This window comes from Homo sapiens, chromosome 17 (genome assembly GCF_000001405.40).
Source record: "Homo sapiens chromosome 17, GRCh38.p14 Primary Assembly".
NCBI lineage: Eukaryota > Metazoa > Chordata > Mammalia > Primates > Hominidae > Homo > Homo sapiens.
The window spans coordinates 42,181,294-42,194,712 of NC_000017.11; the positions used below are offsets into that span (position 1 = coordinate 42,181,294).

A 13,419-nucleotide genomic window follows, 5' to 3' on the forward strand; every position below is an offset into this window, starting at 1 on the left:
AGAGAATTCGGGGCACGCCCACCGGGAGGGGAGGCCTGAAATGATGGGCGGGGCTTGAATAACAGACCCGCCCTCTTCCAGGCTGGCCACGCCTCCACACGTGGTTCCCTGGCTGCTCCTTGTGGCTCCACCTCGCGGGTTTTCCCGCGCGGCGTCCACGCTGGGCTGGTGTCTGGTTCACAGTGCCGCCTACTGGAGTTGACATATTTCGCAGCACCCACAGGCCAGTAGCTCCAGCGTGAGACAGCAAGGGTTAAGAGGCTAGTTTGCTGGTAGAGAATGGACAATGGGAAGGCTTGAAACCCCAACTCTAGAAAGCACCATTCTTACCTCCTGCCTCAGTTTTCCCAAGACACCCTGGCGAACTCTGCCTACTGAGACACAGCATGGTGGAATGAAAAGAGCTTTGGAGTCCACCAGGTAGAGTCCCAGCTCTAGACACCAATCGTGTGATATCCTCTCCAAGCCCACTTTCCTCATCTGTAAAATGGAGCTGATAATTCTTACCTGATGCAGTTACCGTGAGAATGTAATACCATAATGCATGTCTTTGGTACAAAATAAGTGTCTTGAAGGGCAGTTGCCTGCCTGTTTTCCCTCTTCCTACTGTCTTAATCCTCCTCTCTGCTGCCCTTCAAGTGGAAGAGAGGCTGGAGGCAAGTTTGGGAGAAACTACCTCTGAAAAAGATAGTTTCGAGGTGGGCAGAGTCATGGCTTGCAAATCTCCAAGGATGCACATGTGAACTTTGACCTCTAACTTCTCCAAGATGGAACCAGTACAGCAGCAAGAGGGACCAAAGTGAGACTAGACACAGGACTTTCTCACTACCTATGCAGAAAATTGAGGCAGCTGAGTTCTGTGGCTGAGGGTGGCTGCTTCCCACGACAAAACAGCTGAAGCAGTGAAAGTGGGAACCCTATGGGCAAGGAGGGCAGGCTAAATTCTCCCCACCCTCTGAGCTAGGTATTATCTGGGATGTTAGATTGCTAAGAAGTGCCACATTTTTCTGTGTCTCTACTTTTGTTGTTGTTGTTGTTCTTGTTGTTCTTGTTCTTGTTGTTTTTGAGACGGAGTCTTGCTCTGTTGCCCAGGCTGGAGTGCAGTGGCATGACCTCAGCTCACTGCAACCTCTGCCTCCTGGGTTCAAGCAATTCTCCCGCCTCAGCCTCCTTAGTAGCTGGGATCACAGGCGTGCATTACAATGCCCGGCTAATTTTTGTATTTTTAGTAGAGATGGGGTTTCGCCATGTTTGCCAGGCTGGTCTTGAACTCCTGACCTCAAGTGATCCGCCCGCCTCAGCCTCCCAAAGTGCTGGGATTACAGGCATGAGCCACGGAGCCTAGCCTGTGTCTCTACTTTTGGATGTTATATTAGTTTCCTAGGACTGCCATAACAAAGTACCACAAAGTGAGTGGCTCAAACAACAGAAACCTATTGTCTCACAGTTCTGGATGCTAGAAGTCCAAGCAAGGTCAGGTGAAGAGCGTTGGTTCCTTCTGAAGGCTATGAGGGAGAATCTGTTGCATGCCTCTCCCCTATCTTCTGGGGGTGGGGGTGCTGGCAATTTTTGGTGTTCCTTGGCTTGTAGGAGCCAATCTCTACCTTCATGTTCACATGGGTTCTCCCTGTGTGTGTTTCTGTGTTCCAATTCCCTTTTTTATAAGGACGCCAGTCACAGTGGATTAGAGGCCCACCCTACTCTAGTATGACCTCATCTTAACTAATTGCATCTGGAAGGACCTTATTTCCAAATACAGCCACATTCTGAAGTGCCACGGGTACGGACTTCAACATATGGATTTTGGGAACACCAGTAACAGGTGTCTTTGGCTGGAGTTGCAGTAAAATCTTGTACTGCCCCTGCTTAAGAATGTCCCATGACTCTGTTACCTACAAGATAAAGTGCAAAGCCCGATGATTTGTGAGAGCCTTTGCGAGCTGTGCTGCACTGACTGTAACTGTGTCCCTTCCTGAGCCTCTCCACTCCCCACACCCTATACCCCATGATGCAGCCATTCTGGATGACTCATTGTTGAAGTTCAAATTCCCTGCCTTTTCAGCAGGATTGACTCCCACCCCTTCCTAGCTGGATTCTGCTGCTCTATGCAGCTTGCCTGCCTTCCTTCCTTCCTTCCTTCCTTCCTTCCTTCCTTCCTTCCTTCCTTTCTTTCCTTTCTTTCTTTTCTTTTTTCTTTTTCTTTCTTTTTTTTTTTTTTTTGACAGTGCCTCCTTCTGTTGCCCAGGCTGGAGTGCAGTGGCCCAATTATGGCTCAAACTCAAACTCCTGGGCTCAAGCAATCCTCTCGCCCACCATACCCCGCTAATTAAAAAAACTTTTTGGAGAGATGTCTCACTCACTATGTTGCCTAGGCTCGTCTCGAACTCCTTGCTTCAAGGGATCCTCCTGCTTTGGCCTCCCAAAGTGCTGGGATTACAGGCGTGAGCACCGCGCCCGACCGCTGCAACCTTTCTTGCTTTCCTTCCCCTTCCGCGTCTCTGGGTAAAGTCCCCGCTACAGAATGCCTAGCAGAGCATCGTAGGAGTCCCGCATGGCCCGATCCAAGCATGCACCTGTGCAGTTCTCTCTGTGCCCCAGGGCCTTGCACTGGGAACTCCCCAACCAAGAGTGTTTCCGATTCAACCACGCAAAAGCTAAGGCTGGTGCCCGACAGCCGGGCTTCCAGGCCCAGCTGTCCTCCGCAAGACGCTTTGCCACCCCGGATGGGCAGGACGCGACCGCACAGGAACAGAGACCAGTCACACGAATGGAGACTCGTCTTTATTGCCTTTTTTCTGGGGGCTGACGCTGGGTGGGCAGAGGGCAGAGGCCTGGGCCAGGACAGGGCCCGAAGAACGACTCAGATCCCGGACTGTCCTCCGGGCGCGACGGAGGCGGCGGCCGGGGCGGAACAGCGGCGCCCGAGGCAGGGGCGCGGCGCTGGCTCTGCGCCTGCGCGGCGGCCCATGGTCAGGATGCCCGCGGCGTGGTTGCCGCTGGCCTGCAGGAGGCGCTGCAGCCGACCCTGGAGGCCCGGGGGCCCGGACCTCCGCTTGCCCAGCGTGAGGATGCCGGCCGCGTGATTGCCCGCGCCGTGCAGCAGCTCGTAGAGGCGGCAAGAGCAAGTCTTTTGACGACAGCAGTCGGGCAGGGGCTGTGCAGCCGCCCCGGACGACAACAGCGCGGGCGGCAGCAGCAGCAGCAGCAGCAGTAGCGTCACGGCGGCCCAGGAGACCTAGGGAGACGGAGACAGGGCGCTGGGGGGGTCTTCCCACGGCGCCCGCCACCAGCTCCCACGCCCAGGACCTGCCCCTCTGGCTCCGCGCCCCCTCCAAGCCTGCACTCCTTTCTGGCTGTCACTTAGTTCTCCTTGCTTTGCGCCCTTGCTGGTATCGGCCTACTTTCCCTGCTCCTCCTTCAAGACCCAGCAGAGCATCTCCCCCAGGAAGCCTTTTGAGACCCCCTGGGCAGAGTGAATCCCCCTTTTCTCTGGAGACTTAGGCCACTGTGCCACCACTAGGGCACTTGCCACTCCACCTGAAAACAGGAGTGTCTGTCTGCAGCAGAAGTTGTAAACTTGGGAAAAACCCGGGCCCTACTGAGTCCCCCCAACTTCCTCTCCACAGCAGGGAAACACATGGAAATCAGGAACTAGCAAGACTCCAGAATGCTCTCTCATCTGCCTGCCCCCTTGCAGGAGTGACTGAACTCCGTTGCTTTGAACCAGTTTCCTGCCCTTTCAGAGGGCACAGCTCCCTTACCTGTAAACTGGGTATACTAGAAATAATTTCTACTCTGCAAGGCTGTTGGGAGGATGACAAGAGATGACAGGTGCAAACGGAGCACCTGACACATAGAGCTCAGCAAACACAGGCTCTTAGCAAAACAGCACCCAACCCAATGTGAGCCAAGGCAGGTGCTCCTGCCTCAGAGCACACCCAGGAAAAGACCAAGAGTGGAGACACCTTTGGCCTTTCTTCCAGCCCTCTGAGCAAGCACTCTTTTTGCTTCTCTGGGATGGTGAGTCACCCCTCCATCCCTGGATCTTTACCTTTGTGGAAGGAAGGTTCATGGTGTCTGGCGCTCAGGGTGGGGTAGCCGGGAAAGGAGATGTCTGTGGTGGTTCAAAAAGCCAGGAACCTTGAGGCTGTCAATTGTGACCCACTCCCAGGGGTCTGGGGTTTATAGTGCTCTGAGGTGGCGGGGAATTGACAGGCACTTGCGTCCACACCCAGGCCAGACAAAGGCAAGTCTAAGATTAGCCTGCTGCAGGGGGGCCGTCTCCAGGCTGGGCCCAAGGAATGGCCGCTGCGGCGTTCAGAGGCCAGGGTTGGATCACTGTGCCCCTGATCACCCCCTTGTCTGTCTATCTGCTCCCTGGAGATGGGGCGGTCTCCGGGCACTAATGAGGCCACCTTGCACCCAGGAATCTGGGAGCACAAAAGAGGCGCTGGCCTGGGACAATATGGAGGGAGGCAGCTGCTAATTAGGGGCGGGAGAGAGGCAGACGCGAGACCCCACATTATGTGTGTGGGGGGTGGAGCAGCCAGCAGCAGTCCTCTCCCTCCCCTGCTTCTTGTCGCTGCTCCTGGGGACTGTCAGGCTCCAGGACCTTCTTCCTTCATGGAAAGGCTCCTTAGCTGCCCCCTCCCCCTAGCTTTTTTTCTCCCTTCTGCCCTTTCCACTAGCCTCTGAGATGGAAAACCTTGAAAACTCAGCCTAGACAGTGGGAGGTAAGAAGCCAAAACCAAGCCCAATTTCTCTTTCTTTCTTTTCTGTGTGTGTGTGTGTGACTAAATTTTGGTCTTGTTGCTCAGGCTGGAGTGCAGTGGTATGGTCATCTTGGCTCACTGCAACCTCCGCCTTGGGTTCAAGCGATTCTCCTGCCTCAACCTCCTGAATAGCTCCTGAATAGAATTACAGGCACACGCCACCACAACCAGCTAATTTTTGTATTTTTAATAGAGACAGGGTTTCACCATGTTAGCCAGGGTGGTCTCAAACTCCTGACCTCAAGTGATCCACCCACCTCAGTCTCCAAAAGTGTTGGGATTACAGGCGTGGGCCACTGCACCAGGCCCCCCCGCTTTTTTTTTCTTCCTTCCTTCTTTCCTTCTTCCTTCCTTCCTGCATTTCTTTCTTTCTTTCTCTCTCTCACTCTCTCCCTCTTTCTTTCTTTCTTCTTCTTCTTCTTTTTTTTTTTTTTGAGACGGAGTTTCACTCTTGTTGCCCAGGCTGGAGTGCAATGGCGCAATCTCAGCTCACTGCAACCTCCACCTCCAGGGTTCAAGCAATTCTCCTGCCTCTGCCTTCTGAGTAGCTGGGATTACAGGCATGCGCCACCATGCCTGGCTAATTTTGTATTTTTAGTAGAGACAGGGTTTCTCCATGTTGGTCAGGCTGGTCTGGAACTCCTGACCTCAGGTGATCCGCCTGCCTCAGCCACCCAAAGTGCTGGGATTACAGGCATGAGCCACCATGCCTGGCCTTCTCTCTTTCTTCATTTTCTTTTCTTTTTCTTTTCTTTCTTTTTTTTTTTTTTTTTTGAGACAGTCTCACTCTGTCGCCCAGGCTGGAGTGCAGTGGCGCGATCTCGGCTCACTGCAAGCTCCGCCTCCCGGGTTCACGCCATTCTCCTGCCTCAGCCTCCTGGCAGCTGGGACTACAGGTGCCCGCCACCACGCCCAGCTAATTTTTTGTATTTTTAGTAGAGACGGGGTTTCACTGTGTTAGCCAGGATGTTCTCGATCTCCTGACCTCGTGATCTGCCCGCCTCGGCCTCCCAAAGTGCTGGGATTACAGGCGTGAGCTACCACGCCCAGCCCTCTTTATTTTCTTTCTTGAGAAGGTTTCACTCTGTCACCCAGGCTGGAGTGCAGTGGGACAATCATAGCTCACTGCAGCATCAAATGCCACGGCTCAAGCAATGCTCTCACCTCAGCCACCCAAGTAGCTGGGACCACACAGATGCATGCCACAATCCCTGGCTAATATTTAAATTTGTTTGTAGAGACTGGGACTCCCAGGCTGGTCTCAAATCCCTGGCTCAAGCCATCCTCCCCCTTCAGCTTCCCAAACTGCTAGGATTACAGGTGTGAGCTACTGTGCCTGACCAAACTCAGTTTCTACCAGAGGCTGATAGAAAGCTTCTACCTCCCCAGCTTTCTCCCTGGCTCAGGCTACCTGGAGGGGAGGAATGTAGTCCCACTCTACAGTCAACACGGAGTGAGCCGCCATGCATTGAAGAACACATGTCATCTCCAGGCCCAAGCTTCTTATTCACAACCTCTTTTTTTTTTTTTTTTTTTTTTTTTTTTTTTTTTTTTTTTGGAGATAGAGTTTCACTCTTGTTGCCAAAGCTAGAGTGCAAAGGCACGATATTGGCTCATTGCAACCTCTGCCTCCTGGGTTCAAGCAATTCTCCTGCCTCAGCCTCCCAAGTAGCTGGGTTTACAGGTGCACACCACCATGCCCAGCTAATTTTTTGTATTTTTAGTAGAAACACAGTTTCACCATGTTGGCCAGGCTGGTCTTGAACTCCTGACCTCAGGTGATCTGACTGCCTCGACCTCCTAAAGTGCTGGGATTACAGGCATGAGCCATGGCACCTGGCCTACAACCTCTTTATTGAGCTCCTGCTGCATGCCACACCAGGCACTGGGCATGGGGGCAATTGTGCACAGGATCTAGCCCAGTTTCCAAGGAACTCATATTCCAGGTGGGAGGCAGTTCAGGCATAATGATAGTTCAGTGAAGGAGAGGACTACTGCCCACATGAGCAAAGCTGAGCCAGTCACTCTGCCTGGGGTGGGCCTGGTAGGGGGTCCTCAAAGGCCTTGCATGAAAGCTAGTTTACATCAGGGGCAGCGGGATAGAGGGCATTACATAGAAGGGACAACTTGAGCAAACTCCTGGAGTTGACAGTGCTTAACAACCCTTAGATGGGAGGTGAGGCGTGGTCCTTAGTCCAGGCCTTCTTTCAAGCAAGGGGAGAGAGGTAGCTGCACATGTAGGTGAGGGCCAAGGTCAAAGGGTCTAATAGGCCAAATTGATTGGTCTTAATCCTGTGGGCGATGGGGGCCACCATGGGAGGTTTTTTTTTTTGTTTTTTTTTCCCGAGATGGTCTCGCTGTGTTGCCCAGGCTGGTCTTGAACTCCTGGGCATGAACCATCCTTCCACCGCAGCCTCTTGAGTAGCTGGGACTATAGGCCCATGCCACTGTGCCCAGCTTCACAGGAAGATTTTAACAGGATGGAGTGACAGGCGGAGGTGGGGGCCGGGTGGGTATGCAGCCAGGACCTGGGTGTGGGACATGGAATGGAGAAGCTATTCAGAGGCATCTGGATCCAGTGCTGCCTCTACTGAGGAGGAGCTGAGGTCTGCCCCTCCCATCAGCCTCCAAGATGGAAAACCTTAAAACTCCAGTCCAGGCAGTGGGAGGGAAGGAAGCCAAAATCTAGCCCAGTTTCTTTCTTTCTTTTATTTTAGCCTCTACAACCTTGTGGAGGCTGCGTTTCCTCATTAGTATGGAACAGTGAACCCAGATGGTCTCCGGAGTTGCTTCCTGCGGCGATGCCTTATGATGTGAAGTAATAGCTCTCCCTTCCCCACCGCAGAAGTGGTTTGTGGGTGCTGGCCTAGGATGTGCCACGAGTCCTCCAAGGCTCCTGTGTGCGCATGCAGCCTTGCCAGGCCCAGAGCAGAATGTTGGGGGAAAGTCCTGGAGCTCAGTGGGGGAATGGCTGGGCCGGGGTCCACTCCCGTTTCCCCAAAGCAGACCCTGAGGCAAGAATCTGGGTGCAAGAGGTTTATTTGGGAGCCATCCCAGGAAGCCCAAGGCGGGGGAGTGGGGAAGAGAGGGAAGGGAGAGCCCCCGCAGGAAGTACATGAATGAGTGGGTTACTGCTGCGGGCAACTGGGACTCCATCCTGCTGGGCATCCTCTGAGAGTTTATGTAGAATACACTTCAGAATTGTCCTGCTCAAGGACAATGAAGCTGAGGTCCTGCTCCTTATTGACTCAGGGTTGCTGCTCCTGGGGACATTAACCCCCCAACACTTCTAGCTTGCCCAGTGCACTGACTGAGCACACAGCTGTGGCCACCAGAGAACCTCTTTGGGCTGTGATACAGGAAACCATCGGTGTGCATGGTAACTCTCTAGCAGTGTCCTTCATGCCGGGACATGGGGACACGGGCAGGCACTGCTGGCATCTGCTAACCCCGGAGGCCCATACTTCAGAACCGGTCAGCTGGGCCAAGGCCTCTCTAAGGCCCAGCGGCTCTCATGGGCAAATGTCAGGTGACACAGAGTCAGAGACCCTGGCCAAGGACTCCCCATCCGGAGAGGTCCCAGAGGGAGGGGCGAGGTGGCCTCTGGGGGGAGCTGGGCGGTGGGGCAGGACTTGACTCAGGACACCACCCTCTCCTGCAGACACTGGGCCAGGTGCCTGTGCCGAAGGACCCGGGGCATCGCAGGGGGGAAGGGGGAGGAGGGGCAGGCAGCGAGGGCTGCCCGGAGTGCTCGGAAGGCTCCCTGCCCCACCAGGTGGACTCTGGCAGGGCCCACGCTGCCCCAGAACCGCAGGGACTTGTAGCGGGGAGAGGCTTCCTGAAGGCAGTGGTCCAGCTGGGAACAGAACAGCCTGAGTGAGCTGGTGTGTGACTGTGAGTGTGCACACGAGGCGTGTGTGGCTGTGCCCAGGCTACATGTGTTTAGAAGTTTTGTGTGGACAGGTGTGTGTCTGTGGGACTTAGCCCTCCCCTCCCAGAGCCCCAGGGAGCTTCTCCTCCGCCACCCCTCTCCTTCCCATCAGCCCTGATCTCCATGGCACCCTGGGAGTGTGCAGAGTGAAGGGGTCTACAGTCAGACCCTGTCCTCGTCTCCTTTACCTTGTCTCGATTTTCCTCTGACAGATTCCTCAGCCCCCTCAGCGCCACAAACACCTCGTAGTGGGGAGCAGAGCCCGCAGAGGAATCTGTGAATAGACCCCATGTGCACACATACTTCCGGTGAATGGGCAGCTGCCAAGTCTAGTGTCCTCTGCCCTATCTGTTCTTCCCCACTCTGAGATTCATAGGGAAAAAAGAGTTTCTTGGTGGGGAGTGGGGTAAATGGAGAGGAACCTAGAGCTTGATCCTAAATAGGAGACAGATCAGGAAAGAAAATGGGTAGAGACTGCAGCAGGATGGATGAGAGTTAGATGCAGAGAAGGACTTTTGTAGGAGTAGTAAAGGAGGCTTATCTCTTTCCTAGCAGTCCCCTGGCAGGGGAGGTAGGAGTTGAAGGGTAGCTCAAGGATGGTAGGCAGGAGCCGGTGGGGAGGCTCACCCAGAATGCTGCTCTCCACACAGCCATGGTCCAGCAGCTTGGCCCCCGCCCACTGCCCCACTGCCCGGCCCAGGGCCTCAGAGAACAGGTCTTCACCAATATCTTCCCCTCGCACACTCAGGGTCTGGTCCAGCCTGAAGAGGAGGAAGGGAGAGGCAGTGGAGCCCAGGACACAAGGATGGCCCTTCAGCTCCCCGGGGTCACCTACCTGCAGATGAACCTGACGACTGGACACTGATTGTAGGCACCAACCACTCGCACCACATCACCCAGGCGGCACCTGATGGGGTGCAAGTGGGAGTGAGGTCGGGCCCAAGGTCTTCTGAGCTCATGCCCCAGGCCCCCAGCACGGTCCCATAGGGCCCCAGGTAGCAGGGGCTGTGCAGCTGATCACCTGGTGAGGCTGGCGCGGTCCGTCAGCACCAGCTCATACTCCTTGCCCTGCTGGGCCTCGGCCAAAAGGAGGGTGGAGGCAGCTTCCTCCTGGGTGCCTTCCTTGACTGGGAGCAGCTCGATAAAGGGGGCCCCAGGGGGCAGAAGGTAGAGCCCATGGGGCTGCTCTGGCTGTAGGTTTAGGCCCAGCACCCCTGTGAAAGCAAAGCAGCCTCCTCAGCGTCTGCTGGTGCCATCGCTTTCTGCCAGGCAATAGCCCCTCCTGGATCCCAGGCCTGATCCTCTGAGCACCTGATCCTCCTGCTGCCCTTCCACCACATCCTTCCTGGCTCCCCCAGCCTCAGCGGGCTGCCTCTTAGGCCCTCACTGGAAAGAGGCAGAGTGCTGTGGTCCTGGAGGGGGCAGACTTGGGAGTGAATCCTGGTGCCACATGAATTTGTGCAAGACTCTTTTTTTTTTTGAGACAGAGTCTCGCTCTGTCACCTAGGCTGGAGTGCAGTGGTGCGATCTCGGCTCAGTGATTCAGTGATTCCTGGGTTCAAGTGATTCTCCTGCCTGAGCCTCCTGAGTAGCTGAGATTACAGGCGCCTGCCACCACACCTGGCTAATTTTTGTATTTTTAGTAGAGACAGGGTTTCACCACATTGGCCAGGCTGGTCTTAAACTCCTAACTTCAGGTGATCCACCCACCTCAGCCTCTCCCAAAGTGCTGGGATTACACCCGTGAGCCACTGCCCCGGCCTTTTTTTTTTTTTTTTTTTTTTGAGACAGGGTCTTGCTCTGTCACCCAGGCTGGAGTGCAATGGCGCGATCTCAGCTCACTATAATTTCTGCCTCCAAGGTTTAAGCAATCCTCCCGCCTCAGCCTCCCAGGTAGCTGGGATTATAGGCGTGCACCACCATACTCCGCTAGTTTTTGTATTTTTAGTAGAGATGGGGTTTCGCCATGTTGGCCAGGCTGGTCTGGAACTCCTGACCTCAACGATCCATCCACCTTGGCCTCCCAAAGTGCTGGGATTACAGGCGTGAGCCACTGCACCCAGCTACAAGACTCTTAACCTAGAGAGCCTGAATTTCTTCACTTGTAAAAGGAGGCTGCTGGCCCTAGCATGCAGCTTGTTGGGGAGGATTAAATGAGATGATTATGTAGGGCCCAATGCATGGCTGCTTGTCATGTGACCACTGACCGTTGCCCCCACCTCACTGCCCTTGAGTCCCACTGACCTCCCGAGGCAGCATAAGCAGGAGAGAAGAAGGCTAGTCCTTGGCACCACAAGGCCCCGAGGGCAGCCACAGCCTCGGCCTGGCCTCCTGCATCCAGAGTCACCACCACCTGCAGCTTTGGCCAGAGCCGAAGGGCCAGTCCCCGTGGCCCCTGCTCTAGGGCCTCCCGGAGCTCAGCTGCCCGTTCACGGAGAGGCGCTCCAGGGTTCCCGGCAGCTATCGCCCCAGCTAGCTCTTCACCATCAGTCTCCAGGCCCAAGAAAACATCCAGAAGTTCGACAGCCGTCCCAGCCTCCAGTGCCCTCAGCCCTGGGGACCTCAGTGCGTCCAGCAGCAGGGCCCTAGGGTCCTTGGTTCCAGGGGTGCCCACCTGGCCCAGGGTATTCCCAGGCCAAGGCAGGGGTCGGGGCCAAGGGGATGTAAGCGTCACACGGGCAGTGCGTCCCTGAGCCAGCACTTCTGGGTAGGCCTTGTTTAGGGCTGCCAGACCCAGCAAGGTGGCCTGGAGGAGGAAAGAGAGAATGTTGGTCTGGTGTCAGAGCCAGACCCAGAGCCCCCATTTGGGGGTTCTTTGCCCACCATGACTGGAGGGTTTGGCTGCAAGTCAGAGGTCTCTGGTGGGACTGGGCTGTGGCCAGGACTGGGCTCTGGCCATCCTAGATTACCTGCAGAGAGGCCTCCCCAAGGTCCTGGTTTGAGGTCGGGGGCAGTGGCTGCTCTCCACTGTCTTCCTGCTGGGTCTGGCTGGCCTTGGTCAGAGGGAGATGATTCCGGAAGGTGCTTATGTCTATAGCCCCAATGACAACAGAAACGCCTCAGGAAGCCAGTTTCCCAAGAGTTTCAGGCAAGACTGGTGAGACCCTTGAGGGAGGAACCGAGAATAGGCCTGGGGTAGAGAGGATGTAAGGACCCAGCATGGGAAATTCATCTTGGACAAGAAAGCCAGTCCTGGGTCTCTGGGTCAGGCCACTCCGTTGGCAGTGGAGGAGGTAAGGGGGCCATCAGGCTCTGGAATCTGACGGTCCTGTGGGGTTTCTTTCTCTTTGGGTCACCTCCCCAGACCCTGGGAAACACACCTGTGCTCCTTCTGAGGGAACAGTGGGGGCGCTGGGCTCCCTGTAGACACCACCTCAGGGCCTGCTGCTGGCTCTGGTGCACATGGAGCGTGCTCTGCTCCAGCCTCCGCCGCTGCCAGGTGGCTGCCCAGACCAGGGCCCCCCATGCCACTCGGTGCTGGAGGCCAGCAAGCCAGGACAGCCTGGCATCCTGGGACCGCTGCTGCCTGAGCAGGGCCAATGTTGGCAGCAGCAGCAGCAGCAGCAGCAGTGGCCACAGCAGCATCTCCAAGCAGCTCCTGGGAAGAGGAAGGAACCGAGATATGGGGGCATGCAGCAATTATCCATTTCTCCTCCCACGCTCTACTGCATACAGGAAAACCGAGGAAAAATGAAATTGGGAAGAAGGCAGGACCCTGTGGGGCAGGTGATGCAAAGGAGAGACTATCAAAGCTTTGGAGTCCCACTGACCTGAGTGCAGATCCTGCCTCTGCCGCTTGTTAGCTGTAGGGCCCTGAGCAATTTAGTGGGCTGCACTGAGCTCTGTTTCCTGATCTGCAAAATGGGAATAAGAATAAGAATGCCTCTTTCAGAAGGTAGGGGTGGGCCGGGTGAGGTGGCTATCATCTGTAATCCCAGCACTTTGGGAGGCTGAGGCAGGAGAATCACTTGAGCCCAGGAGTTTGCAACCGGCCTGAGCAACATAGGGAGACTCCATCTCTACAAAAAATTGAAAAACTAGCCCAGCGTGGTGTCACACCCATAGTCGCAGCTACTTGGGAGGCTGAGATGGGAGGATCCCTTGAGCCCAGGATGTCAAGGCTACAGTGAGCCAAGATCGTGCCACTGCACCCCAGCTTGGGCAACAGAGTGAGACCCTGTCAAAAAAAAAAAGAAAAGAAAAAAAAGGGAGAAAAGAAGGAAGAGGAAGGGAAGGTACAGGAAGGGTTTCGGACAGGGTCGGTCGGGCACACAGCAGCTGCGTAACGATATCTCTTGCCCACTCCCGAGTGGCTTTGCTTTCTCTCGGGATCCACCCTGTCCCAGCTCCTTGTCCCTCCTGAGCCCCAGGCTGTGGGGTCCATGCCCACATGCACCTGTCACAGCCCACTTCTGCCTACTCCTGGCACGTGACGGAGACCCCTGGGTGACTCTGGGTCTCAGCACACATCCGGCCAGAAAGAAGGAGCGATGGCTTTAAAAGGCTGGGCCCCAACTGGGAAATCCGGCCACCAGGCCTGAGGGAGGAGCTGAAGGAGGGGGGTGCTCTTAAAGGGGCAGGTCGCCTACAGGACTTCATGTCGGGTGCTAGCCCAGGCTGGCAGTTGGGGCAGTTAGGACCAGACTAGCATGGTCCTCAAACTTGCGCAGGTGAAGGAACAGAAAGGTGTGTGTGGGAAAGAACGCCATTAAGCCA

The 13,419-nt window shown here is 55.5% G+C and overlaps 2 protein-coding genes across 3 annotated transcripts, besides 7 other annotated features; both read right to left on the minus strand.

The window, feature by feature from the left end:
- Positions 5-280: a silencer, noted in NCBI's record as "fragment chr17:40333316-40333591 (GRCh37/hg19 assembly coordinates)". NCBI's record gives its function as "represses an EF-1alpha promoter that drives an FKBP-Casp9 reporter gene in an ReSE screen in phorbol 12-myristate 13-acetate-treated (for megakaryocytic differentiation) K562 erythroleukemia cells {active_cell/tissue: K562(+PMA)}" and the evidence as "EXISTENCE:reporter gene assay evidence [ECO:0000049][PMID:32094911]".
- Positions 2,373-2,432: an enhancer, noted in NCBI's record as "active region_12190". NCBI's record gives its function as "activates an Ori minimal core promoter by ATAC-STARR-seq in GM12878 lymphoblastoid cells {active_cell/tissue: GM12878}" and the evidence as "EXISTENCE:reporter gene assay evidence [ECO:0000049][PMID:35858748]".
- On the minus strand, positions 2,767-4,159 carry HCRT (hypocretin neuropeptide precursor). Its single transcript, NM_001524.1, has 2 exons — positions 4,052-4,159; positions 2,767-3,235 (listed from the first exon to the last, which is right to left on the minus strand). The coding sequence occupies exons 1-2, from the start codon at positions 4,070-4,072 to the stop codon at positions 2,861-2,863; spliced, it is 396 nt and encodes a 131-aa protein (NP_001515.1). The 5' UTR covers positions 4,073-4,159; the 3' UTR covers positions 2,767-2,860.
- Positions 2,863-3,082: a silencer, noted in NCBI's record as "silent region_8518". NCBI's record gives its function as "represses an Ori minimal core promoter by ATAC-STARR-seq in GM12878 lymphoblastoid cells {active_cell/tissue: GM12878}" and the evidence as "EXISTENCE:reporter gene assay evidence [ECO:0000049][PMID:35858748]".
- Positions 2,863-3,735: a biological region, named in NCBI's record as "H3K27ac-H3K4me1 hESC enhancer GRCh37_chr17:40336245-40337046".
- Positions 2,934-3,735: an enhancer, noted in NCBI's record as "H3K27ac-H3K4me1 hESC enhancer chr17:40336245-40337046 (GRCh37/hg19 assembly coordinates)". NCBI's record gives its function as "activates a minimal SCP1, AML or CMV promoter by ChIP-STARR-seq in naive H9 embryonic stem cells {active_cell/tissue: H9 hESC(naive)}" and the evidence as "EXISTENCE:reporter gene assay evidence [ECO:0000049][PMID:30033119]".
- On the minus strand, positions 7,794-13,201 carry GHDC (GH3 domain containing). Of its 2 annotated transcripts, none has more exons than NM_032484.5 (10): positions 13,100-13,201; positions 12,474-12,557; positions 12,024-12,301; positions 11,613-11,734; positions 10,948-11,449; positions 9,725-9,917; positions 9,539-9,610; positions 9,331-9,464; positions 8,892-8,977; positions 7,794-8,628 (listed from the first exon to the last, which is right to left on the minus strand). In NM_032484.5, the coding sequence occupies exons 3-10, from the start codon at positions 12,286-12,288 to the stop codon at positions 8,410-8,412; spliced, it is 1,593 nt and encodes a 530-aa protein (NP_115873.1). In that variant the 5' UTR covers positions 12,289-12,301; positions 12,474-12,557; positions 13,100-13,201; the 3' UTR covers positions 7,794-8,409. The 2 variants fall into 2 exon arrangements, with proteins under 2 accessions (NP_115873.1, NP_001136095.1); NM_001142623.2 differs by having other exon boundaries at positions 8,892-9,066.
- Positions 11,689-12,219: an enhancer, noted in NCBI's record as "H3K4me1 hESC enhancer chr17:40345000-40345530 (GRCh37/hg19 assembly coordinates)". NCBI's record gives its function as "activates a minimal SCP1, AML or CMV promoter by ChIP-STARR-seq in primed H9 embryonic stem cells {active_cell/tissue: H9 hESC(primed)}" and the evidence as "EXISTENCE:reporter gene assay evidence [ECO:0000049][PMID:30033119]".
- Positions 13,114-13,343: an enhancer, noted in NCBI's record as "active region_12191". NCBI's record gives its function as "activates an Ori minimal core promoter by ATAC-STARR-seq in GM12878 lymphoblastoid cells {active_cell/tissue: GM12878}" and the evidence as "EXISTENCE:reporter gene assay evidence [ECO:0000049][PMID:35858748]".

Coding starts and splice junctions, on each gene's coding strand:
- HCRT (NM_001524.1), bottom strand. CDS start 4,072: ATGAACCTTCCTTCCACAAAG. Junction 3,236..4,051: donor TGAACCTTCCTTCCACAAAG/GTAAAGATCCAG, acceptor CCGTCTCCCTAG/GTCTCCTGGGCCGCCGTGAC.
- GHDC (NM_032484.5), bottom strand. CDS start 12,288: ATGCTGCTGTGGCCACTGCTGCTGCTGCTGCTGCTGCTGCCAACATTG. Junction 11,735..12,023: donor TTCCCTCAGAAGGAGCACAG/GTGTGTTTCCCA, acceptor TTGGGGCTATAG/ACATAAGCACCTTCCGGAAT. Junction 9,465..9,538: donor GTCGTCAGGTTCATCTGCAG/GTAGGTGACCCC, acceptor CCTCCTCTTCAG/GCTGGACCAGACCCTGAGTG.